This window comes from Homo sapiens, chromosome 5 (genome assembly GCF_000001405.40).
Source record: "Homo sapiens chromosome 5, GRCh38.p14 Primary Assembly".
Taxonomy (NCBI): Eukaryota; Metazoa; Chordata; class Mammalia; order Primates; family Hominidae; genus Homo; species Homo sapiens.
The window spans coordinates 41,304,310-41,330,068 of record NC_000005.10 but is presented as its reverse complement, the minus strand read 5'-3'; the positions used below and the strand labels follow the sequence as shown (position 1 = coordinate 41,330,068).

At 37.4% G+C, this 25,759-nt stretch overlaps 1 protein-coding gene across 2 annotated transcripts in view; it reads left to right on the top strand.

The window, feature by feature from the left end:
• The window catches only part of PLCXD3 (phosphatidylinositol specific phospholipase C X domain containing 3), a 203,650-nt gene extending 180,533 nt beyond the window's left edge, over positions 1-23,117 (top strand). For both annotated transcript variants that reach the window (NM_001005473.3, XM_017009438.3), the window contains exon 3: positions 16,299-23,117. In NM_001005473.3, coding sequence (NP_001005473.1) covers positions 16,299-16,452 — 154 coding nt within the window. In that variant the 3' untranslated portion in view covers positions 16,453-23,117. The remainder of the gene's footprint in view (positions 1-16,298) is intronic.
• The last annotated feature ends 2,642 nt before the right edge of the window (positions 23,118-25,759 follow it).

The following is a 25,759-nucleotide window of genomic DNA, read 5'->3' as shown; positions in this document are numbered from 1 at the left end:
AATGCATTCAAAACAAATTCATTAAAAGACACAAATTTTTTATTATCCACAATTGTTCGCCCATAACTGTAAAATATAAGTTTAGAGGTGTTAGAGAAGTAGCATATATGAAATACAATTGTTATAAAGGTATTATATATACACAAATACATATACTTAAAAAAGAATTTGACATGGATTTATAATACATTTCTAATAAACTTAATTCTAATTAATAAAATGATAATCAACTATAATTATAATTAATAATTAATATATAATAAAATAGATTAAATACATCTGATTATATAAAAAAATTAATTCTAATAAACTTTACTCTTATAAAGATGATGATGATGATTACTGCTTTCATTATCATTAGCACAGAACCTCCTGACACTATATGTACAACACAAGGAAAGGCACCTTTCAAATTGACTGGTCAATTTGAAAATTTGTAAAAGTTAAAATTCTTCAAGTCAATATTTTTTGTAAAAAATTACTTTTATTCAGCAAAAAAGCAGTGAGTCCACAAACTAAAATCTGTGGCAGTAGCCACATGAGGAATACTGAGTAGCATTTTTATGAATTATGTTACTGCATATACTTCTGTTCTAAAAGTAAACTTTGTTTCTAAACAAAAAGCCTGTTCATTTATTCAGCAAATATTTACTGAGTCCTTAGCCTGTGCCATGCACTGTGCTAAGCACCCAGGCTACAACAGTAGGAAAACAGCCCTCAAAGAGCTTACAGTCTAGTTGGGGAGACAGACATTGATCAAACGCATAAATACGATTACAATTCTGACTAGTGTTTCGAAGAAGTGACATTTAAACTTTCACCTGAAAGATGAAAGTACGTTACTCTAGTCAGGACCAGAACTGAAATTTCTCTTTTAACACCAAGTGACGGGGCAGGGAAGATAAAGCATCTTTGGAAAAACAAAACAAAACAAATAAGAACAACAACAACAACAAACCAGAAGTTTCCCTGGGGAAAATTAGGCTGGTCAAGATGAGCAAGACTGATAACGGGGCTAGCATTCACTGATGGGAAGAATGACAAGAGATGAAACTGAAGAAACCTCTAGTGGCCATTGTTCAGGGCCCTGTAGGCCAGTTAAGCATTTTTACCTTTGTTCTAAAAGCACTGAGAGGTAATTGAAACATTCTAAGCAGGAGATTGACATGAAATAACAAGTCAAGGTCAGCACATTGCAGGTTACTGAACTCAATAGTATGACCTGCAAAAGAACTCCTCAGCATTTCCAACTCTTAAATCTTTTTCTTTAAATCTTTTTAAAACCAGTTCTTAATGTCAGCATATGAGAAGACGACCTCTGGTTCTCACATCTCTTCATTCTTGTGGCTTCTTTGAAGGAGGGAGGTTTTCTGATTCCTGTAGGCTTCCCTGTTTCTCTTCTAAGAATCCTGTAATCAGTTTGAAGATGCCTTTCCACAGAAGAGCTTCACATTCCAGAGGGGCTTTGAGACCTCACATGCCAAATTTGGGACCTGCTGTTGTACCAACTTACTTTAGATGCTGCAGTGGGAAAAGGATACTCGGACATGTGCCACAATTACGTGCCCAGGAAACAAAGCCATTCCAAGAATACTTCCCCAAATGCCTCATCACCAGTCTTGTATGACAGCACCAGGACGTTATTATCCCCCTCTTTTCTGTCTTTGGAATTGTGAAAGTTGGAAAGAAATCCTGCAGACTCATTTTTATATCACAACTGTATTATGCCCAGGTGTTAATCCCCAGCTCTCAGAATCCCCTACTGAAGCAGTGAATTGACAGGCTGTCACTCAGTGATTATTGAATGTGACACCACTACAGAGAGACAAGCACTCTTCTCATCATTCTACATGTACTAACTAATTTAATCCTCATTATTATGCCCACTTTATAGATGGTAAAACTGAGGCTTAGAGTGATGACCAACTTGCTCATAATAAATGGAGCTTAAACCTGAATAGAAACAGTCTTGCTCTAGAACTGACAGTAGTGCTATGAAATTTTTTTTTTAATTTCATTTATCTTGAAATGATTCTCCTGGTAGTCACTGAGGTCTTGCAAGCCATCAGAGTCTAATCCACACTATAAATCCAGCATCTGCCAAGCACAGTGGCTCAGGCCTGTAATCCCAGCGCTTTGGGAGGCTGAAGCAGGAGGATCGCTTGAGTCCGGGAGTTCGAGGTTACAGTGAGCTATGACTATGCCACTGCACTGCAGCATGGGTGATAGAGTGAGACACTGTCTCTAAAAAAGAAAAAATCCAACATCTAATGAAAAGAAAGATTAAAGAATGGTGGGGGACATTTTTAACATCACAGTAACTATATAATCACATCCTTCTATACTAAAGTAGACCATTCTATAAATAGATGTTAAAATGTTAATATACAAATTCAAAGGGAATTTAATTATCTCTTCAGATTACATAACTCACTTAGAAATATTTTCCTTCATGATACTTGTGGATAATATTAAAATTTCCACTAGTAACATCTTGGCTATAAAGAAAGGTAGGGGTAATATGAATGAATTAAAGCTTTTTTAGACTCTCACAGCAATCTGAGAAGTTTCAAAGGAAGACAGTGAGCTCTTTATTTATAGGTGAAGAAAATACAAGTTTGAATGTCTCAGGAGCCTTTGGATGGAATTAATATCAAATTCTTTGCAGGAGAAAATTTTTTAAAAATTTCTTTAATTGGACAAACCTTTATTTGCATATAAAGTCAAGCTTAGACTCCACAGCATGTCAAAGGAAGTCCTTAACGACCTGGCCAAACACCTTTTCTGCTTCTTCTCAACTGCAGTCAATTCCCCCACACCTCCAGGGCCCCTGCTCTCTAGTCCCCATGTCCCCTCTAGTTGCATCATCTCTTTCATGCCCACATGCTTTTGCATGTGCTGTTCCCTTTTCTTATGATACCTTCCTTCACCTTCTTTGGAACCCCTTTCTCTTTATCTTAAGAGGGCCTAGGCATGACCAAGTTCAAATAGCCCCTGTTTTGTGAAATGGTCCTTAAATTCCTCCTTAGTTTCTCCCAAGTAAAATGAATGATTTTATCTACTGTGCTCCCATAGAATCCTATGCCCACTTCTATTGTACCATATCATATTGTCATGGTGGGTTTACGTCTATTTTGCTTCTTAAACTTTGAGCCACCTGAGCCCAGGAAATTGGAGTTCAATGAATGTGTTGTTTTCCCTTTGGATCCTAGGGAGTGGTAGGTACAGGGGATGTATTAATGAATACAATATGATATTTTAATGGGCAGGTACTGGTAAAAATTGGCATGGAAATGGATAATCAATGTTATGTGCTATGTACACTCACAGAACTATGCTTAAGAGGCATAAAACATAAAGAAAAAGGATCTTCACTCAGATTTGGATGGGAGGGGTTGAGATAATGCCCAGGCCAAATCTTAAATGGTAGGGAGCAATTGGCCAAGAAGGGTATTGGAAGAAGACAGGCCTGAAAAAAATACATAAGCATGAAACTGCAGAGCATGTTTTGGGGAAAATACAAGCATTTCAGTATCACTGGAGAACAAATGAACAGGAAGTAGCAATAAATGAGGTTGAGGAGGAGATGGTAGCTGATATGGGGAGATAGGAAAAACTCATACACACTGCTGAAGAGTTGGGTATATCTTGCAGGTGAGAGATGAATTTGTAGTTGTTCATGAAGAGGAATAATAATGCTCAAATTAATTTGAGAAACATTGTCCTGACTGTGGTGTAGATAACACACACAAAAAAGGAACATAGGCACAAGACTGTGGCAACATCTCTCCAGGAGAGATGAGGAAAGTCTAAACTCTGAAATGGCCCTAGGAAGTTACAGGTAGCACCACTGATGCACAATACATCTTTGTTAGATGAATGCATGGATGGATGAATGGAGGGATAGAAAGATAGGTGACTTAAATAAAGTTTAACCAGTTTTTCTTTGCTGTGATCCAAATGTTTGTGTCTCTCCAAATTCATATGTTGAAATCCTAACCTTCAAGATGATGGCATTAAGAAGTGAGGACTTTGGGAGGCGATTAGGTTGTGAGGGCAGAGTCCCCATGAATGAGATTAGTACCCTTGTTAAAGAGGCACAAGGGATCTTGTTTTCCCTTCCACCATGTGAAGACACAATGAGAAAACTCCATTTATGAATCAAGAAAGGAGCCCTCACCAAACACCAAATCTACTAGCACATTGATCTTGGACTTCTAAGTCTCCAAAACTTTGAGAAATACATTTCTGTTGTTTATATACTACCCAGGTTATGGTATTTTGTTATAGCAGCCCCAAACAGACTAAGACAGTCTTATACCATAAAAATTGTTACATTGGTGGCATTTTATTACCACCAGAGTCATCTTTCAGTTCATTCTTATTACCTGTCCAACACCAAGTATAACCAGCAATGTCCTAATTAGCTGTACATCATACATTATCAATGGCAAAAAAACAAAAATTAGTTCTTCAGACACCAAACAAAAAATGTTTTCTTTTCACATGTAAAGCACAGATATATAAACAGTTATACAATATATCTGTAGTATTAAAATTTCATGGAGGAGGAGGACAAATAGGAAAACAATATTCAAAAAAGCTCCTTGGGAGGTAATAATGATAAAAGATTAAGAAATGCTATCCTAAATAATTGTTGTAACTTCAGTAGCATTTGCTAGTTTTAATCCAGTACAGTGAGTCTTTTTGTTTAACATAATTCTACTTGAGACTGTCTGAGTATTTGAGATTTAACTTGGCATTATTGCTTGTTTTGTCTCTGGTATCATATTGACTTTAGGAACGTATGCCTGAACAGAAAATAGAAATATTCCCATGACTCAGAGGAATGATATTTTAAATGTAATATTCATATTTCATCTAAGGACTACAAGTTATTTTGAAACAATGTTTCATCAATTCTCAAAGCAATCTATTTTATGGGGAAACAAAAAAGAACACTCTTGTGTTCTCCTAACCTCTCCGTGGGGATAACAATTAGTTGTTCTAAATTCAGGCCTAGAAATTTTAACTTCTGAGTAACAGACGGCATCTAAGGAGCTGTTTCTGTGATAATCAAGGTTCTGAGACGTGAATATGGTTGCTCAGGAACCTCCCATGACGTAGTACCCAAGGGATCTGGTGAACAAGCTACTCAGTTAAGGCCAACACAGAATCAATACTGGCCTCAGCATCACACTTATCTACTCCGCCTCTCACCTCTCAAGGTGAATGAGTCTGTTGAAAAATCATTCTTCCCAGGAAATACACTGGTTGTGATACTATTTCCAAAGAGCATTGGTCTTCTCATATATGCAAAGGTGATGCGACAGGCACAGCAGAGCCACTTCATCTGTTCTAGCAAGGCCAGAAGAGAAAGTTGTGGGTTCAACCAGAGTGGCTACACACATACTGTCACAGTATCTGTCGTTCTAATGAACTTGAATACACTCATGTCTGTATATTCAGACATGGGATCCAGATTGTCCATTTTAAGATAGAATTATCTTCTAAAACTATTGCTGTGGGGACCAAATGTCTCCACCTGCTGCTCTATTTCCTAAAGGCATTGGGCCATTTAGGTCAACATTATGCTCTTTTAGAAACAACTGAGTCCTCCTCTATCTGGGTCTGACAGGAAAATGTATATGCTGAAATTATGGATCAGGATTTTTAAGGTACTAGCCGGGGATTAGTGTAGCTCAAGGTCATTGACCCAGTGTTGTCTGAACGGGCTGAATTTCTTTAGACTGGATATACTTTCTGAGATCTGGGGAAATGCACATTTATCACACTCCCTGCTTAAATCTCACTCAGCTCTTCTTAGTTTCCAAAAGGAGCATGGCTTCCTTCTTTTCTTGATTTTCATGACACTATATGCTCCTGATTTTCCTCCTACTTCTGCATCTACTTCTGATTGCCTTCTATGGAATCCATTTTCCTGCCCATCCCTTAAATGCTTCTGATTTTTTCTCTTTTCTTCCTCCTCCTCAAAATCTAAGTGATCTTATCCACGTTCACAGCTCCAACTATTCTCTGTTTGTGATGACTTCTGAGCAGCTCTCTGTCCTGCATATAAGACCTGTACTTACCTGCCACTTGAGATCTCAACTCATGTGTTCCAAAGTCACCTCAAAATCAACATATATCAGACTGAACTTATCATGCTTGCTGGAAAGGCTTCGCTCCTGTCTTTCCAAGATGAGTGAATGATGTCCACGTGCCAGAATACTTCTAGAAATCTAGGCATAATTCATGGTCCCTTTCTTCCTCTCCTTCTACATCCAGTTTCATATCAGATGTCATTTTAGATGACATCTAGATTTCAGGTGTCTTTCATATATATATACACTGCTGCTACTGCAATTCAAGCAACCACTATCTCTGGTCTGGATTACTTCAGCAGCATCTAATTGTGATTTCTGCCCCTAGTGTTGCTCTCTCCCATCACTTGTCTACACTGAAGTCAAACTAATCTCTAAATCACTAATCTAATCATAGTATTCCCCTAGCTAACAGTTTTCAGTTGCTATGTATTTCTTTTCTTTTTCTTTTTCATTTTTGTGGGTATATAGTAGGTGTATATATTTATGGGTACATTAGATGTATTGATAAAGGCATGCAATGTGAAATAAGCTTACTGTGAAGAATGGGGTATCCCTTCCCTCAAGCATTTGCCCATTGAGTTGCAAACAATCCAATTACACTTTTTAAGTTATTTTAAAATGTATAGTTATTATTGACTCTAATCAGTCTGTTGTGCTATCAAATAGATCTCATTTCTTCTTTCTAACTTTTTTTTATACTTTTTAACCACCCCACCTCATCCATAGCTCTCCCACTATGCTTCCTAGCCTCTGGTAACCATCCTTCTCTCTGTGTCCATGAGTTCAATGTTTTGATTTTTAGATCTCATAAATAAGTGACAACGTGTGATATTTGTCTTTCTGTACCTGGCTTATTTCACTTAACATAATGATCTCCAGTTCCATGCATGTCGTTGCAAATGACTGAATCTTATTCCTTTCTATGGCTGTATAGTACTCCATTGTGTATATGTACCACATTTTCTTTTTTCTTTTCTTTTTTTTTTTTTTAGACAGAGTCTTGTTCTGTCACCAGGCTGAAGTGCAGTGGTGCGAACTTGACTCACTGCAACCTCCTCCTCCTGGGTTCAAGCAATTCCCCTGACTCAGCCTCCTGAGTAGCTGGGACTACAGGTGCACATCACAACACCCAACTAATTTTTGTATTTTAGTAGAGACGGAGTTTCACCATGTTGGCCAGGATGGCCTCGATCTCCTGACCTCAAGATCTGCCCACCTCAGCCTCCCAAAGTGCTAGAATTACAGGCGTGGGCCACCACGCCCAGCCACATTTTCTTTATCCAGTCATCTGTTGATGAACATTTAGGTTGCTTCCAAATCTTAGGTATTACACACAGTGCTGCAACAAACATAGGAGTGCAGATATCTCTTCAATATACTGATTTTCTATCTTTTGTGTATATACCCAGCAGTGGGATTGCTGGATCACTTGGTAGCTCGATTTTCAGTTTTTTGAAGAACCTCCAAACTGTTCTCCATAGTGGTTGTACTAATGTACATTCCCACCAACAGTATACAAGGGTTCCCTTTTCTCCATGTCCCCTCCAGCATTTGTTATTGCCTGTTTCTGGATATAAACCATTTTAACTTGGATGACATGATTTGCATCTCTCTGATAATCAATGATGTTGAGCATATGTTCATATGTCTGTTTGCCATTTGTATGTCTTCTTTTGAGAAATGTCTGTTCAAATCTTTTGCCCATCTTTTAATTAATTAGCTTTTTTTCCTATAAAGTTGTTCAAGTTCCTTATATATCCTGGTTATTAATCTCATGTCAGATGGGTAGTTTGAAGATATTTTCTCCCATTCTGTGGGTTGTCTCTTCACTTTGTTGATTGTATCCTTCACTGTGCAGAAGCCTTTTAATTTGATGTGATCCCATTTGTCCATGTTTGGTTTGGTTGCCTGTGCTTATGGGGTATTGCTCAAGAAATTTTTGCCCAGACCAATGTCCTGGAGATTTTCCCCAAAGTTTTCTTATAGTAGTTTCATAGTTTGAGGTCTTAGGTTTAAGTCTTTAATCCATTTTGATCTGATTTTTGTATATGGTGAGAGGTGAGAGATAGTGGCCAAGTTTTATTCTTTTGCATCTGGATATCCAATTTTCCCAGCACCATTACTGAAGATACTGTCTTTTCCCCAGTGTGTGTTTGTGGCACCTTTGTCAAAAGTGAGTTGACCGTAAATGTGTGAATTTGCTTCTGTATTTATTATTTTCTCTTGGTCTATGTGTCTGTTTTTATGCCAGTGCCATGCTGTGTTAGTTAGTATTTCTCTGCAGGATAATTTAAAGTAATGTGATTCTTCCAGTTTTGTTCTTTTTGGTTTGGATAACTTTGGCTATGCTGGGTCTTTTGTGTTTCCACATAAATTTTAGGTTTGCTTTTTCTATTTCTATGAAGAATATCATTAGTATTTTGACAGTAGATTGCATTAAATCTGTAGACTGCTTTGAGTAGTATGGACACTTTAACAGTATTGATTCTTTCAATCTATAAACATGGTATACTTTTGCATTTTTTTGGTGTCTTCTTTCATCAGTGTTTTATAGATTTCATTATAGAGCTCTTTCACTTTTTTTGGTTTATTCCTAGGTACTTAATTTTATGTGTGGCTATTGTAAATGGGATTGCTTCTTTTATTCTTTTTCACATTGTTCACTGTTGGCATACAGAAATGCTACTGATTTTTGTATGTTGACTTTGTATACTGCAAATTTATTGAATTTGCTTATCACTTCTGTTTTCTTACAGAGTCTTTATGTTTTTCCAAATATAAGATCATATCATCTGCAAACAAGGGACATTTGACTTTCTTTTCAATTTGGAAGCATTTTGTGTCTTTCTCTGGTCTGATTGGTCTAGCTAGAAATTCCAGTACTATTTTGAATAACAGCAGTGACACTGGGCATCCTTGTCATGTGCCAGCTCTTAGAGGAAAAGCTTCTACTTTTTCCTCATTCAGTATGATACTAGCTGTGGGTCTGTTGTATATGGTTTTTATTATGTTTAGATATGTTCATTCTATTTCCAGTTTTTTAAAAGATTTTTTATAATGAAGGGATGTTGACTTCTATCAAATGCTTTTTCAGCATCAATTGAGATGATCATATGGTTTTCATTCTTCTTTCTGTTGATGTGATGTATCACATTAATTGATATGTGGCCGGGCGCAGTGGCTCACGCCTGTAATCCCAGCACTTTGGGAGGCCGAGGCGGACGGATCACGAGGTCAGGAGATCGAGACCATCCTGGCTAACACAGTGAAAACCTGTCTCTACTAAAAATACAAAAAATTAGCCAGGCATGGTGGCGGGTGCCTGTAATCCCAGCTACTCTGGAGGCTGAGGCAGGAGAATGGTGTGAACCCGGGAGGTGGAGCTTGCAGTGAGCCAAGATCGCGCCACTGCACTCCAGTCTGGGCGACAGAGCGAGACTCCGTCTCAAAAAATTAAAAAATTAAAAAACCAAAACATTAATTGATTTGCATATGTTGAACCACCCTTGCATCCCAGGGATGAATCCCAATTGGTCATGATGAATGGTCTTTCTAATGTATTCCTGAATTAAGTTTGCTAGTGTTTTGTTAAGAATTTTTACATCAATATTCATCAGCAATATTGGCTTATAGTTGTTGTTTTTTCTTTTTTTTGTTTTTAGGTGTGTCTTTGGTTTTGTTATCAGGGTAATACTGGCCTCATAGAGTGAGTTTGGAAATATTCCCTCCTCCTCTATTTTTCAAAATAATTAGAGTAGGATTGCTATTAGTTTTTCTTTAAATGTTTGGTAGAATTATTAGGCAGTGACGCCATCAGGTCTCGGGGTTTTCTTTACTGGGAGACTTTTTATTATGGCTTTGATCTCATTACTTGTTATTGGTCTGTTCAGGTTTTGAATTTTTTTCCTAGTTCAATCTTGGTAGGTTGTATGTGTCTAGGAATTTGTTCATTTCTTGTAGGTTTTCCTATTTATTGGCATGTAGTTGCTCATAGTAGCCACTAATGAACTTTTGAATTTCTGCAGTGTCAGTTGTAATGTCTCTTTTCCATTTCTGATTTTATTTATTTATTTGGATCTTCTTTTGTTTTCTTAGTATGGCTAAAGGTTTGTCCATTGTGCTTAACTTTTCAACAAATGACATTTTTGTTTTATTGATCTTTTGTATTTTTTTCATTTCAATTGCATTTATTACCACTCTGATCTTTATTATTTCTTTTCTTCTACTAATTTGGGGTTTGGTTTTTTCTTGGTTTTCTAGTTTTTTAAGATGCATCATTAGATTGTTTATTTGAAGTTTTTTCTCTTTTGGGACACAGGCACTTGTAGCTATAAACTTCCTTCTTAGTACTGCTTTTGCTGTATCCCATAGGTTTTGGTGTGTTGTGTTTCCATTATTATTTGTTTCAAGAAACTTTTCAATTTCCTTCTTAATGTCTTCATTGACCCACTGGTCATTCAGGAGCGTACTGTTTAATTTCCATGTAGTTGTAGAACTCCCAAAATTCCTCTCATCATTAATTTCTAGTTATATCCCATTGTGGTCAGAGAAGATGTTTGATATTACTTAGATTGTTTTGAATGTTTTAAGATGTTTTGTGACCTAAAATATGGTCTATCCTTGAGAATGATCCATGCGCTGAGGAAAAAAATGTGTATCCTGAAGCTCTTGGATGAAATGTTCTGTAAATGTCTATTAGATCCATTTGGTCTATACTGCAGATTAAGTCTGATGTTTCTTGATTTTCTGTCTGGAAGATCTGTTCAGTACTGAAAGTAGGGTGTTGAGGTCTCTGGCTATTATTGTTTTAGGGCCTATTTCTCTCTTTAGCTCTAAAAATACTTATTATATGTATCTGGGTCCTCCAGTGTTGACTGCATATATATTTACAATTGCTATATCCTCTTGCTGAATTGAAACCTTTATCATGGCACAGTGACATTATTTGTCTCATCTTACAGTTTTTGTTTTGAAATTTATTTTGTCTGATATAAGTATAGCAACTCCTGCTTTTTTTGTTCATTTGTTTGTTTGCTTGTTTCCAGTGGTGTGGAATCTTTTTCCAACCCTTTATTTTCGGTCTATGTGTGTCTTTACAGGTGATGTGTGTTTCTTGTAGGCAATAGATCATTGGGTCTTGTTTTCTCATCCACTAAGCCAGGCTATGTCTTTTGATTGGAGAGTTTAGTCCATTTACATTCAATGTTGTTATTGATAAGTAAGGACTTACTCCTTGCATTTTGTTATGTGTCTTCTGGTTGTGTTGTGGTCTTCTCTTCCTTTTTTCTTTCCTTCCTGTCTTCCTCTAGTGAAGTTGACTTTACCTGGTGATAGGATTTAGTTATTGCTTCTTATTTTTTGTGTATCCATTGCATGTTTTTGGTTTTAGGTTACCAGGAAGTGTGCAAATACCATCTTATAAGTCATTATTTTAACTTGATAACAACTTTACATTATTTGCATAAGTAAACAAACAAAAAGTAAACTAATAAAAATACGCCTTAACTTCATCCCCCCACTTTTAAACATTTTGTTGTTTCTACTTATATTTTATTGTACTGACTGTGCCTTGAAATTTTGTTGTAGTTTTTATTTTTGATTGGTTCATTGTTTAGTCTTTCTACTAAGGATAAGAGTAGTTTACATACCACAGTGGCAGTGTTATAATATTCTTTGTTTTTCTGTGTACTTACCATTACCAGTAAGTTTTGTACCTTCTACTGATTATTTATTGCTCATTAATGTCCTTTTCTTTTTGATTGAAGTACTCCCTTTAACATTTCTTGTGGGGCGGGTCTGGGATTGATGAAATCCCTCAGCTTTTGTTTATCTGGGAAAGTCTATTTCTCCTTCATGTTTGAAGGATATTTTTGCCAGACATCCCACTCTAGGGTAAAAGTTTTTTTTCCTTCTGCACCTTGAATATGTCATGTCATGCTCTCCTGGCCTTCTTGTGTTTGGATATTAATATCTTTCTCTAAGTTTGGGAAGTTCTCTGTTATTATTTCTTTGAATAAACATCCTACCCTTGTCTTTCTTTTCTACTTATTTAAGGCCAATAACTCTTAGATTTGTCTTTTCAGCCTATTTTCTGCATCCTGTAGGCATGCTTCATTGTTTTTTATTATTTTTTCTTTTGTCTCCTCTGTATATTTTCAAATATCCTGTCTTCAAGGTCACTGTTTCTTCTGCTTGATCCATTCTGCCATTAAATGACTCTGATGCATTCTTTAGTATACCAATTACATTTTTCAGCTCCAGAAAATTTCTGCTTGACTCTTTTTAATTATTTTAATATCTTCATTGAATTTATCTGATAGAATTCTGAATTCCTTCTCTGTGTTGTCTTGAACCTATTTGAGTTTCCTTAACACAGCTACTTTGAGTTCTTTGTCTGAAAGGTCACATATCTCTGTTTCTCCAGGATTGGTCCCTGGTGCCTTATTTAGTTCATATGGTGAGGTCACCTTTCCCCAGATGGTGTTGATGCTAGTTAGATATTCTTCAATGTCTGGACATTGAAGAGTTAGGCATTTATTCTAGTCTTTGCTGTCTGAGCTTATTTGTAGCCATCCTTCTCAGGGAGGCCTTCTGGAAATTTGAAAAGACTAAGGTATTGTGATCTAAACTGTATCTGCTTTAGGGGGCACCCCAAGACCAGTAATGCTGTGATTCCTGATGACTTGTAGAGGTACCACCTTGATGGCCTTGGTCCAGATATGGGAGAATTCTCTAAGTTACCAGGCAGAGATTTGTTCTCTTTCCTTACTTTCTTCCAAACATACAGAGTCTCCCACTCCATTTTGAACCACCTAAACCTGCAGATGGAATGACACAAGCACCTCTGTGGCCACCACTACTATGACTGTGCTGTGCTGGGTCACACCTGAAGCCAGCAAAGTACTGGGTCTCATGCAGGGCCTGCTGTAACCAGTCCCTGGCTATTGTGTATGGTTTCTCAAGGCCCTGGGGCTGAACAATCAGCAGGTGGCAAAGCCAGCCACGTCTGTATCCTTCCTTTCAGGATGGCAAGGTCCCCCAAGCCCTGGGTGGGTCCAGAAGTGCCATCTGGAGTCAGGGAGTAGAGCCAAAAACCTTAGAAATTTATCTGGTATCCAATTACATTGCAGCTGAACTGGCACTAAAAACACAAGACACAGTCCTTACCAGTCTTCCCTGTCCTTTCCAAAGGTACAGGAGCCTCACCCTATAGCCACCACCACCCTAGCCATGATGAGTACTTCCAGACTACCACTGATGTTCCCTTAAGGTCCAAGATCTCTTAAGTCTGCTTCTGGTGGATGCTGCCTAGCCTGGGACTCACCCTTCAGGGCAGTGGGCTCCCTCTGACCCTGGGCAGGTCCAGAAATGCCATCCAACAGTGAAGTCCTGGAATCGGGGACTCTAAGAGTCTGCTTGGTGCTCTAGCAACCATGGCAGTGTTGGTACCAAAGGTGCAAGACAAAGTCCCCTTTACTTTTCTCTCTGCTTTTCTCAACAAGAAGAAGTTTTGTCCCACAGCCACCATAGCTAGTAATATGCTGAGTCTTACTTGCAAGCAAGCCTCAGAGGTTCACCCAAGACCCAAGATGTAGTACCTGGATATCTCTGCTGGTTATCTGGGGCCAAGGGCTCTTCAGTTAGCAGGTGATGAATGCTGGTAGGTCTACATCCTTTTCTTCAAGGCAGCAGGTTCCCTTCTGGCCCAGGGTGTGTCTAGAAATGTCATCTGGGAGCTAGGGCCTGGAACGGGGACCTCATGACTCTGACTGGTGCCCTATCCTGCTGTGGCTGAGCTGGTATCCAAGAGGCAAGACAAAGTCCTCACCATTCTTCCCCCTCTTCTCCCAAGTGGAAGAAGGGGGTCTCTTTTGAAACCACAAGCTGTGCAGCCTGGGTTTAGGGGAGAGGTGATGCCAGCACTCCCTTGGTTACCTAAGCTGATGTCTCAGTATGGAGTTGCCTAAGAGTTGCAGTTCTTATGACCTAGACTGCCTTTCAAATTTACTTGGAGACACAGAACACTATAGCCCTCTGTGGTGAGATTTGCAGGCACTCAAGTTCTGACTGCTGGGATCTGTGATTCCCTCTCTGGCTAGGCCTGGTTTAAATATTCCCTGTGTGACTGGGCGTCCGCTGAGTTAGGTCCGGTTTTCATTTCTGCTCTAGCAGGACAGCACTGAGTTTAATGCCTCACAATTACTGTATTCTCCCTTGCCCAGAGCCCAGAGATGCTCTCCACAACAGGCCATTGCTGGTGGAGGTTGAGAGGGAGGGTGTCAGTGATTCAGGACTGCTTTTTCTATTTCTTCTGTGGCATTTTCCGCGATATAAAGTTAAATCCAGGTACTAAAGGTACTCATCTGATTTTTAGTTCTTATAAAGGTGTTTTTTGCTGTGTAAATAGTTGTTAACTTGGTATCCTTGCAGGAAGGACGATGACCTTGCAGGGGTATGCGGAGCCTTCTGTTCCACCATCTTGCTCAGCCTCCCAATTCAGTTGTTATATATTTCTCAAGGCCCTCTATTGTCTGGGTTTTTTTTTTTCTCTTTAACATCTTTCAAAACTACCTTACCTTTTTTATACAACTTCTTCTAGGTTTTTAAACTCTCCTCCCCTTCTTCCCTTTTCTCTCCCTCTCCCTCTCCATTTCATCCAGGAATTTAATGTTCACATGTATTTCCCTCAAACTTTCTTTATTAATACACTATCATGTCTCTGGCCTGTTCATTTATCCTTTTGTCATGGAAACTTCCCTTCCTGCCCTGACCAAGTTATAGTAGTTCTCATTCCAATATGCTGTCAGAAGATGCTGGACATCATCATTAACATCACCTGTATCTGTCTGCCTGGATCCATTGCTCCTAAGCACACACCATGATTCTGTCAGCAAATGAAAAAATGGTATTTCCTCTGCCTGAAAGTGCATTGCATCATCCTCCATCTACCATTCTCACCTTTATCCAGCTAAATCTTCCTAATCCTTCAATATTTATTTTAGCAAGCATTCTTCTGAAAGGTTTTCAGAAGACTTTCCTTGATTTTCCAGGCTATGCTAAGTGACTCTCCACTATGATCTCATGGTGATGAATGAGCTCTTATAGTGAAAGTCAAATCACACCACTCCTCTGCTCAAGATAATTCAAAGGCCCCCTATTTTACTCAGAGTGAACATCAAAACTTTTATAATGGCCTAATGTGCCCTACAGAATCTGCCCCCTTTTCCTCAGTATCCTCATTTTTTTTACTACTCTCTTCTTTTCTCTAAGCTTAAGCATGCTACCCCATTAGTGCCATGGCAATAGCTGGGATGCTTTCCCTAGATAGCCACATGACTAACTCCCTTGTCTCCTTCAAACCTTTGCACAAATGTCCCTTTATCACTGAGGCCTATTAAGCCACCCTATTTTAAAATGCAATCTGCATCTCTCCTCCCTACCTGCAGATTCCTAATCTTCTTTTCTTTGCTCCATTTTTATAGCACTTATTCCCTTCTATCAAACTACATATTTTTATGACTATTGTTTATTGTCTGTTTCTCCTTATGAGAATGTAAGCTCCACAGGGAAAGATATTTTTATCTGTTTTGTTCACTTGAATCCTCCAGGTGCCTACACTGATGACTGGAACTTAATAGGTGCCCAGTAAATGTGTTTGAAGGAATGAGCCCTGATTATATTGTGCTACAATTTCTTCCTTGTCTGCCTACCCACCACCAAACTGTGTACTTTCTGAAGGCAGGGGATTTTACTATTATGTCTATTTACAATATCTTAGCACATTTCCTCATAATAGTGGGTTCATAATAAATGTTTGCTAAGTGCATGTATTCATCTCTGACCTCCCCAATCCGTAGTTTTGCAGGGTTTGTGATGACACCATGTTAAATCAGAATACAAATGCAAAAATGTTGTTTTCTTAGTAGGGAAGCATCATTATAAACTATCACAGTATCTGGGATCTGCCGAGATGAGAACTCCAATACGGATCAATATAGTGAATATTTCTCCTGCAGAGTTTCTTCAAAGGTTAAAAAATCCCCAGAGTCCATTTGGCCTTTTCCCCTTCCTGTACCTATACGTGAAACATTTATTTTAATAAGCTAGAAACTAAAGGGAAGACTGAGAATTGTAGAGCTTGAAAAATAGTATCTTGCCTTCTGTGACTTTTCTTTTTGTTTCCTTTCTCAGAGCTCTTCCTGCCATGATGCAGTGGGTCCGCACGCAGAAGCCAGGAGAGAGTGGCATCAATATTGTCACTGCCGATTTTGTAGAACTTGGTGACTTTATCAGCACTGTCATAAAGCTCAACTATGTCTTTGATGAAGGAGAAGCCAACACTTGATAGCACTACTTGGAGTTTCCATGAATAAGATGGAGAAAGCTCATTGTATTAGGGCATACTATCTGTAAACACTCTGATCTTCCTATTCCACTGAGTCTCTGAAGGGAATAGGGCTGGTAGTGGGTGGGAAAAGGGGAAAAACTGTTTCTTCAGTGATTACAATCATACTCTTCATTACTATAAATATTTCATTTCCCATTTGATGAGCAAAATCTACTTCTAGTGTTAGGAATAAAAAAAAAAGACCAGTAACTTTGTTTTTCAAAATTAGTCTTTGTAACATAGAATTCATGAGTGTTTACTTGATTAGGTTCTCTATTTCCAGCCTATGACTCCTACGCTGTCTATACCCTGCAACCTTTCTGCTCCCTCTCTTGCTCGCTCTTTTTAATCAGATGCTGTATGGGAATCAAAACAATTGAATGCCCAACATTTTGTGTATTACATTGTTGTCTTAAAACTTACTAGTTTTGTGGGACTTGTTATAATGCTCTATAGTCATCCACAGTTGGGCAATCATAGCTAATTTTTGGTCATAGAAAATCTGCATCAAATCAGTTTCCATGCATCAGTAATATTGAAGGTCATAATCAGTGATTTTTGTTATATGAAAATAATAGTGTTTCACAGTATTTCTATTTAAGGCAGCTATAAATATAGGAGAAAAATGTTTTTGGAGAGCTGTGAATGCCAATTTCAGAGGGAAAAATGGTTGAGGGGTGAAAGAGATGTATGGCATTTTAATTTGGCAATCTCTTAAATAATATTGCCCTGCAAGTACCCAGTAAATGGTAAGGTACAAGTGTGTTAAAATTGAAAACTCTGAAAATAACTCTTTAAAAAGCCCTCTTAATGATGCTCTTGATGAAAGAAAAAGACAGAAGGAAGGAAGGAAGGAAGGAAGGAAGGAAGGAAGGAAGGAAGGAAGGAAAGGAAGAAAGGAAGGGAGGGAGGAAGGGAGGGAAGAAGGGAGGGAAGGACAGAAGGAAGGACGGGAGGAAGGAAGGAAGGGAGGAAGGAAGGAAGGAAGAGAGGGAGGGAGGGAGGAAGAGAGGGAGGGAGGGAGGAAGAGAGGAAGGAAGAAGAAAAAGACTGCAAGCTTTCCTGCCAATTTGGGATTTTCAAATATTTAATTCTAAATTCCAGATTTTAAGGAAGATTTTTCAAGAAACTGCAAGTTTTTGACTTGAAGGAAAGAAAGAGGAAGGCTGGTAGAAGCAGTTAGAGCAATGTGTTTGAAATTATGTCCATGAAATCACAGGGATCTCTGAAATATCTTTAGGAAACTTGAAATTTATGAGGTCTGAATGGACTTGTTTAAAATTGGCTCTGACTCCTCACTTCTGAGTTTCATCCTATCCGAGGGATGAGATTAAGGCAGAGGCAAAAGTTTCACACAAAGTTTCTGCAACCTAACGTTTAATAGTCCGGGTCTACAGGGAAGAACAATGACACAGCTTGAGCGTTACTTCCTCCTTCGTGTCATTGTGATATTTGACAACTCTAAAAAATAAAAAAAAAAAACTTAGAGCACAATAATCCTTGCCTATGTACTTCACAGGAATATTGTGAGGTGTTTATAAAATTATAAAATTTGATGAAATTCTTACAATTATTAATTATTTTATTTTCATGTTTAGAAATAATCACACCCCAATAGTTTCCTAGGATAATACAGTCCATGCAAAGTAGGGTCATAGAGAAATAAAAGCATGCCCTCAGCTTTTAATGAACTTAAATGTAGCACATATGGCTTAATCTCTTAGACTTAGATAAGGGAGTTCAATTCAAAACCATATATGTCAAGACCACAAATAATCAAGAGTTGATTTCAAGATTATAAATACTCATGATCAGAAAATAGTACTTATTAGCAATTAAAGGGAGGAAAAGAAATTGTTTATACTGAAGAGAATGTTTATGAGGAGTGTGTATGTACCTGTGGTATACCAAATAGCATACATGTACACACAAAAATGTGTGTATACATTTGGGTTGTGTGTATACATCTTGCCATATACAATATACAAACATATGCCCATTCCTGTGATAGCATACAAATTCAAACATACAGAAACACACACAGATATGGACACAGTACAATTCTTCTTTTCAAATGAAGACATTGATAATATTAAATAATTTAATTTTAAGACTGAAACCCTTAATATTGTGTGAAAAAGAGTAATAAAACCTTTGAAAGTAGAGTAGATGATCACATCAAAGTATTTTTGTAAAAGAATTCTAGTGTAGGACTTAATTATTTTTAAAATATATTTCTTCTCTTCTTTCCATTTTCCCTTCCCTTGTAGTTTTATTATCTTTCTGTCTTTTACACCTGCTCTTTATGTGAAAATGTATATGAATCCTTTTAAAATGATTAGGATTATTGAAATGTATGTCCCGTAAATTTGGTTTTTGGGCAGACTTTCTCTCTAACTGGCTATTCATTCATCCTTCAGGAGGATCTTAGCCAAGAATATTTGCAATGACACATGAATTTAATTTTATAAATATAATGGAAAACAGATTTTTCATCATATCATGAATAAAATATAGAGGTAACTATGTTGTATTTTCTTGAACCTAGATACTTTCTCATAGTGTTTGCTTAGAATTAACTTTGTCCTATTTGTCAACTGGGTTCTGGAAAAAAACAAACATGATGAAGCTTTTGAATAATTGTGCAGTTTTTTAACTAGGGAAAGCTTTGTACTGCTGCTAATGATATGCACCCAGAAACCTTGTTAGACAAAAGGCAGTTTCAAGCCAATGCTATGGTTTCCATGTGGACATACAGTGCCTATGTAGCAGGCACTTAGAGTAAATGGACTTGCCTTAATTTATAAAGGAGGGAAGAGGTAGAAGGGAACCATGGGTCCTCCAGCTAGAGGGGGAGTTTACTAAAAGGGAGTCCTTGGAAAGGGGAATGGAGAGAAGGTGCCTTTGACTGTCTTCTATCCATTAGTTCTGCCCTGGAGCACACTGGGGAAGCAGGCTGCGGGCCTTCCAAAAGTAAAAAATGGTGATATGCAATCGAAGCTTATCCTTAGCCTATGCACATTTGTCTCAGCTGGGCATTGTCTTTTCAGAGAGCTTGTAGCACAAGGGCTACACATGGGCGCCAAGATGGTGGTAGATACACCTTGGTGCACTTTTTGTTTTACTTGTTTCTTAAGACTATTTCACAAGTCCTGTGAGGCAAAAAAACAAAACAAAACAAAACAACCAAACAAATACAATCTAACTTTTACCCAATCTACAGCAGGAAATCAAAGGAGTGGGTGGAATGAGAGAAAATATGCAAAGAGATCATTTTTAAGTTTGATTTCCTGTCTGTAATTTTCAAGGACTAATATAGCAAATTTTTCTTCTGCCATTATCATTTATGTCTCCCTATTTACCACACAATAATGTAAATGCAGAGAATGAGGAGGCATCTTTTAAAAGCCTTAGGATATTCTATATGATGACCTCAATATTGACTTTCAGCCATACTGGGAAAACTTACTTTTCATGGAGTGCCACCTAACAGTGAATGTATTAGAGTATAAAATGTTTGCCATGTATACACCTGTATGTGCACATACACACATTACACACACACACAGAATGCACATTTCACACACATATACTTATTATTCAAGTTGAAACTGCACTCTAATCAATCTGAGTCTATTGCTGTTTCAACTCTTAAAATCAATATCTCCTACATTAGTAGATATAAACATAATTCAAATATTTAAATATTTAAGAGGAGAAAAGTAACTAGAAAACCAATGAAAAGTGAGGCCATCAGAAATAGAAAATGCCTGGCACGAACAGTCTATCTAAATTCTCAATTTCACTTCAAATTAGAGAATCCATAATGGACTAGAATATAAATTACAAACACATACACACATCTTCACTTAAAGTTGTTTTAAGTTCTTTGAAGTTCTGACATGTTTTTAGCCAGGGTTATTTGTTCAGGTTCTTCCTTGTTAGGATTCCAGACTGGAAAGTTGGAAGTCTCAGGAAATGCATGTTTCCATGAGTTTTTTAGTTTCACAGTTTTACAGATCCAACGACACAATCTTTTAATCTTTGGTCACTCAACCAAACAGGAGTTCCGTAGGCAGAGTGCTCACTTTGAATTGCTAATAGAAAATAATGCACAGTGTCCTCAGGATATGCTAAACAAGGTTTTTAAGAGCATTTTATTTTACAGCACTTTAGTCTTTTCAGCTAGATTTCAGTGACACTATGGTGTAAATGCTATATCTGCCATAACTTATTGGTGGCTCCTGTGTTACATACAGTTTTAAATAATGCTCTAAATTGTTTGTTTTCCCAATGATAATGATAAAGTGTTCTGTAGAATTTGTAAAACATGTCAATTGAATCTGTTGAAAATTGTGTAATTGTTATTTCAATTGTGATACTATTTTGTAGGTAATAGTTTTAAACGTATATTTGTATGAGTCAAAAGTATGTGCTTGTATGTGGTATGTGTGTGTAAGTATATAATATCTTATCAAAAATCAAACTTATCCTAAAGAAAAAGGGCACATTGTGACCAGCCTTAATTTATTAACACTTTTTTGTTGTTTTTGCAATTTGGATTTAAAATTGAAACAGAAATTAAGTTTTTGTTAAAAATGGTGTCTTTTAATTTTGTGAGGAATGGGCTTTAGAACCTATCTGAGTTCCCACAAGCAAACTGTCCACCTTGTGAGGTACCCCATTGCTTTTCGTAATAATCAAACATCAATTCATATATTAACTTCATTTTCATACAGACTAATTTGTTTTCATCAACAATAGAACCAGTACACCTTTAAAGTTGACCTTCCCAACATGGCACCCATTTTTCTTTAATGATAAATTTTCCATGAAAAATTGTTTCTCCAAACCATTACTTTTTAAAATTCAATCTTCCCAAGTAAGATGAACTGCCTTGGTGTTAGGAGAGCTTTTAAAGGCCCATCCATACTAGGTGGTTCCAACATGGTTCTCTTCTCGAGAAAACAAGCATGCAACCCACACACTTTTCTGGTCTGCCCCACGTGTAGAATTAGTCTAGCAATAGAAAACTCATGACTGACAAGGATCTACACATGTGGTCATGCTTGAAGCAAAAATTCTGTGACCTTCTTTGGGCTTGGATCTGATTACAGAATATTAATTAACTTTCTTATTTCCTTTCTTTCTCCATCCTTAGTTATTCCTTTTCAATATTTAGAGTTGCCAGGTAAAATACAGGATATCCAGTGAAATTTAAATTTCAGATAAACAGTATTTCTTTAGCATATTTCTCATATATTTAATCAGACATACTTTCACTTTAAAAAAAGTTTATCTGAAATTCAAATGTAACTGGGTATGTCCTATATATTTTTTCCTAAATCTCACAATTCTATCCACACTGCCTTTCTATCTTTTTCAGCTGGGCTATCTATAAGGGGCGAGATCTACCTCCCTCCATACCCTTGTGTTCAGACACCTTATGAATATCTGCAGTCATAATGTCCTTCAAGAAAGAAAACATTGGTCAGCTCTAGGTCCTGCAAATGCTTTTTGAAGGACGAACTCAAATACAGATGGGATAATCAAGTAAATATCTTCATAGGATCAATGCCACCATGTTCAACACTTCCCTTTGCCAGCCTGTTGTGAGGTCCAAGTTTCCCCATTAATCCCTTATATAGCATTTCCCAGTAACTGGGACAACCAAAAACACACCGACATATTAGAAATGCTCCTGAAAAGTGGCAACACCGCCTAACTCAGTACCAGGACCTCTTTTAAATTCAATTTCTTTTTTCTTTCAGAGAGATAACAAACGAATTCATTATTTCCCCCATTCACATCTTACCACAAATTATTTTTATCAGGTTAAAACTGGTCATCTACGGAATTGTAGAAAGGTGACATAGGAACTGTCTTCACTGCTGGAAGAATAAAAGAGTCTGAGGTATAGACACTGCCCTGGTGACACCTTCTCAGAACATTGTTGGGGGACAGGGGAGGCAGGCGCAAGTAGGGGATAGAATCTGACCCTGACATGCAGCTATCACCTGGCAGAGAGACTCGTCAAAGCAAATTATAACGACCAGTACTATTTTTTTTTGGAATTGAAAACCCAAGAAGCCCTAAAATAAGAACAGTGAGATCAAAGGCTGGTTTCTAAAACAATGCAGAAAATAGAACCATGTTGGAATTCCTAAATTCTAGCTTTCAAATACTACTGTTTCCAACAGTGAATCCTTGACAGAGACTGAATGCAGATGGAATTTTGAAACATTTTCAGTAGCTACCTCCTCTCCTGAAATTCCTATAAGTGGCAGAGGAAAATCCAAATCCTTTAATATAACATGTCCATCTCATGACTCCTGCTTACACACATTTGTGTTGATTTGCTTCATTTCTGGAGGATGGGAATTTGCAGAGCTGGTGACATTTCCTTCATTAGACACCAGAAATTCACCAGAGAGAGACAGATCTGTGCCTTCTCTTTTTAGGATCTGGTTATTGATACTTTAATAAATGTGGTGTAAAGAAAATCCATGGCTACAGTCTGTATAGAAAATGTGAATTTTTTAAATAAGATTGTGTTCTTAATGTAAAAAATAAAAGTTTATTTGTATTCAGTGAAATGCCTAATAAAGTCCTGGTACCAATTATCTTTATTTTTTATTTTAATATTTATCAGTGCTTCATTATAAGCTCAAAAATGGATCTCTTAAATAGGGCATGACTCAGAGCATCAAAAAATGTAATTCTTTTTTAACAATATGAATCATCATATTAGGGTTTCCACCATAAAAATATATATGTATACTATCTACCAATAAAGTCAGTGCTGTGAGTCCTTCAATTATATAAAAGTTAGGTATCTGATGTCCAATACACTTCACTTCTGATATTATGAAGAAGGCCCATATCAATGTAGCAGTATTATAGTAACATAGCATATTAATATAAAACACAATTTCTTTTCTTTCTTTTTTTTTTTTTTTTTTTTTTTGTTAAAAGCTTCGGGTGAAGGAAATCTATCTACTTTTATTGAGCCTGCATGGTACCTAATACATGAGACATTATTTCAGAAGTGGAATTGCCTTTGTATTTCACCAAGTAAACCCTACCTGCTGGGTTTAAATCATGCTTAAAACAAAATTTAAGCATTGTAATATTATTATAAAAATAGTCAAGCAAATAAATATGGTCCAAGATTATCTTTGGGGCTGAGCATGGACATAAATCCTCCCAAAGACTCTACTAAATCCCCCCAAAGATTCATGACACTAGAGGATTTCTATTTATAAAGCTGTAATGATTGCTGCATTCAAGAAGTAGTGTATGTCTGCAAATAATAATCCACATAACTATATCTGTGTGTCTTTAACATAATATTGCTATAGCTTCATCAGAGCTCTTATTCATTTATTTTGTCATTCAGCAAACATTTGCCTACTTTGTGGCAGCTTCCCCGCTAAGCACTATAAAACATTTCTAAAAAGTTTCCTAGGAAAATGGACAAAGTACACCTTTGGTAGTCTCTCACTTGAGCTAACAAGTGGCACTATTTTGTCTCCAAGCAAAGCATTCATTCTCAATGACATTTTCAAAGTAATATCCCCAGATAATAAAATGGTTTGAGCACAGTTATTCCTGAAAGCCTGAGAAGAAAGGGACAACTTCTAAAATAAGTATAATTGGAAATAGGTTGGTCATGACCACAGGCAATGAAGAGTAGACTCTTGTTCTCTCCCTGACACAAACTTTGCCACTACGTACAGGGCACTGTGTGCAAGCTGGTGGCCACTTCCTATCTGTAGCGTTAAAACAGAAAAAGCAGAGCTCTATCCCTTTTCCTTTCTCCCCTCACCTCCAGACTTCAGAAGAAACTGCCTTTGCTCCACAGGAGAGGCTGATAGCACCACTGAGATGTTAACTAGTAGACTTCTGCATCTCAGGTAAGCTGACCCCATAAATAAAAGAGGTATCTCCTCCATATAAAGTAAAAATAATGGTGCTTCCTACATCAAAGGGGTAAAAACATCATCTGGAATTGAAGGAGATAATTCTTTTCAGGTGGAAAAAAATACTGTAGGACAATAAGAGGTTTCATCATTGGCTCTCGACATGTGGTTCAATGTATGTTCTTAGCGATAAGCCATAATAATGGCTGCACTGGAATTAAGTAGCAAGAAGTAAATCTAAATGTGATGGGCATTGATACCATACTCACTCTTCAGTCCTGTGGATAGAACTATTCCTGGAAACATCTGGATCTGTGAAGCAAAGGTGAACCACATTAAACTCTAACAAGTGGGCCTTAGTGCCACAGTGACAGGGAGAGGAAGGTGTTTGAGAACACCAATGCTGGCAGCTCCCGAAGCACCTCTTGGCAGAACCCTTATACTCTATTCGCACTTACTTCTTCACAGGAATATGTAAGCTTGACCTCCTGGGGTTTTACTGAGAAACAAGAGAAAATCTTTTGCCTCAACACAACTACCCAGTTGTTATTAAATTGTGTTCTTTCACTTTAGAAAAAAAAAATGTGCCTGTAGACTGGTTTCTACATTGTATGGGGATAAGGCAGAACATTTTAATTTAGAACCAATAATCCTTTTCTCTTAGGACTATAAGAATATTAGCCTTTGATTTAAGCATTGAAGGTAAAATATTCTTGTATTCCTAGCGCGTAGCAGGTATTAAAACATGTTTGGAAACAATGAAATCAAAGTGCAGCTGATTGTGACCCAATCAAACTGTGGACAGTTGCTTGATAAGGGCCACATACATGCTAAATATTGATAGGTGGTAATGAGGGCTCAAAAAACCATAAGGCAGTATCCCTACCTGTTGTATTCCTTGGAGAAATACTGAGAAAGTCAGGAGAATTTAGGGGAAAATACACTGCATGGTGTTCTCTATAAGAGTAAAAGACCCTGTCTCTTAGGCTCTAAAGTCAACTCTCAATCTTGTTGAAGAATATTCAACCATGGGAATTTGGCTTGTCTATTCTAAAAAGAGTGAAAAAGAGTTGGGAAGGAGGTTACATTTTGAGCTTCAACAAAATGTCCTGTTAAATTTTCCCAAAATCCCTATTAAATTTTTTATTCGCTCATAGATAGATATGGGGTTGCATAAACTGTTAACTAAAATTCCACAGATTCTTGCTCCCACAGAAGACCGCTGCTCACATACCCTTTTGGAAGACTACCTCTTACCCCATGCTTTTCTGAGTGCCCAGAAGATACTAGGTAGTTGCAAAAATAATTTCCGTTTTTGCCATTATTTCCTGTTTGATTCATAT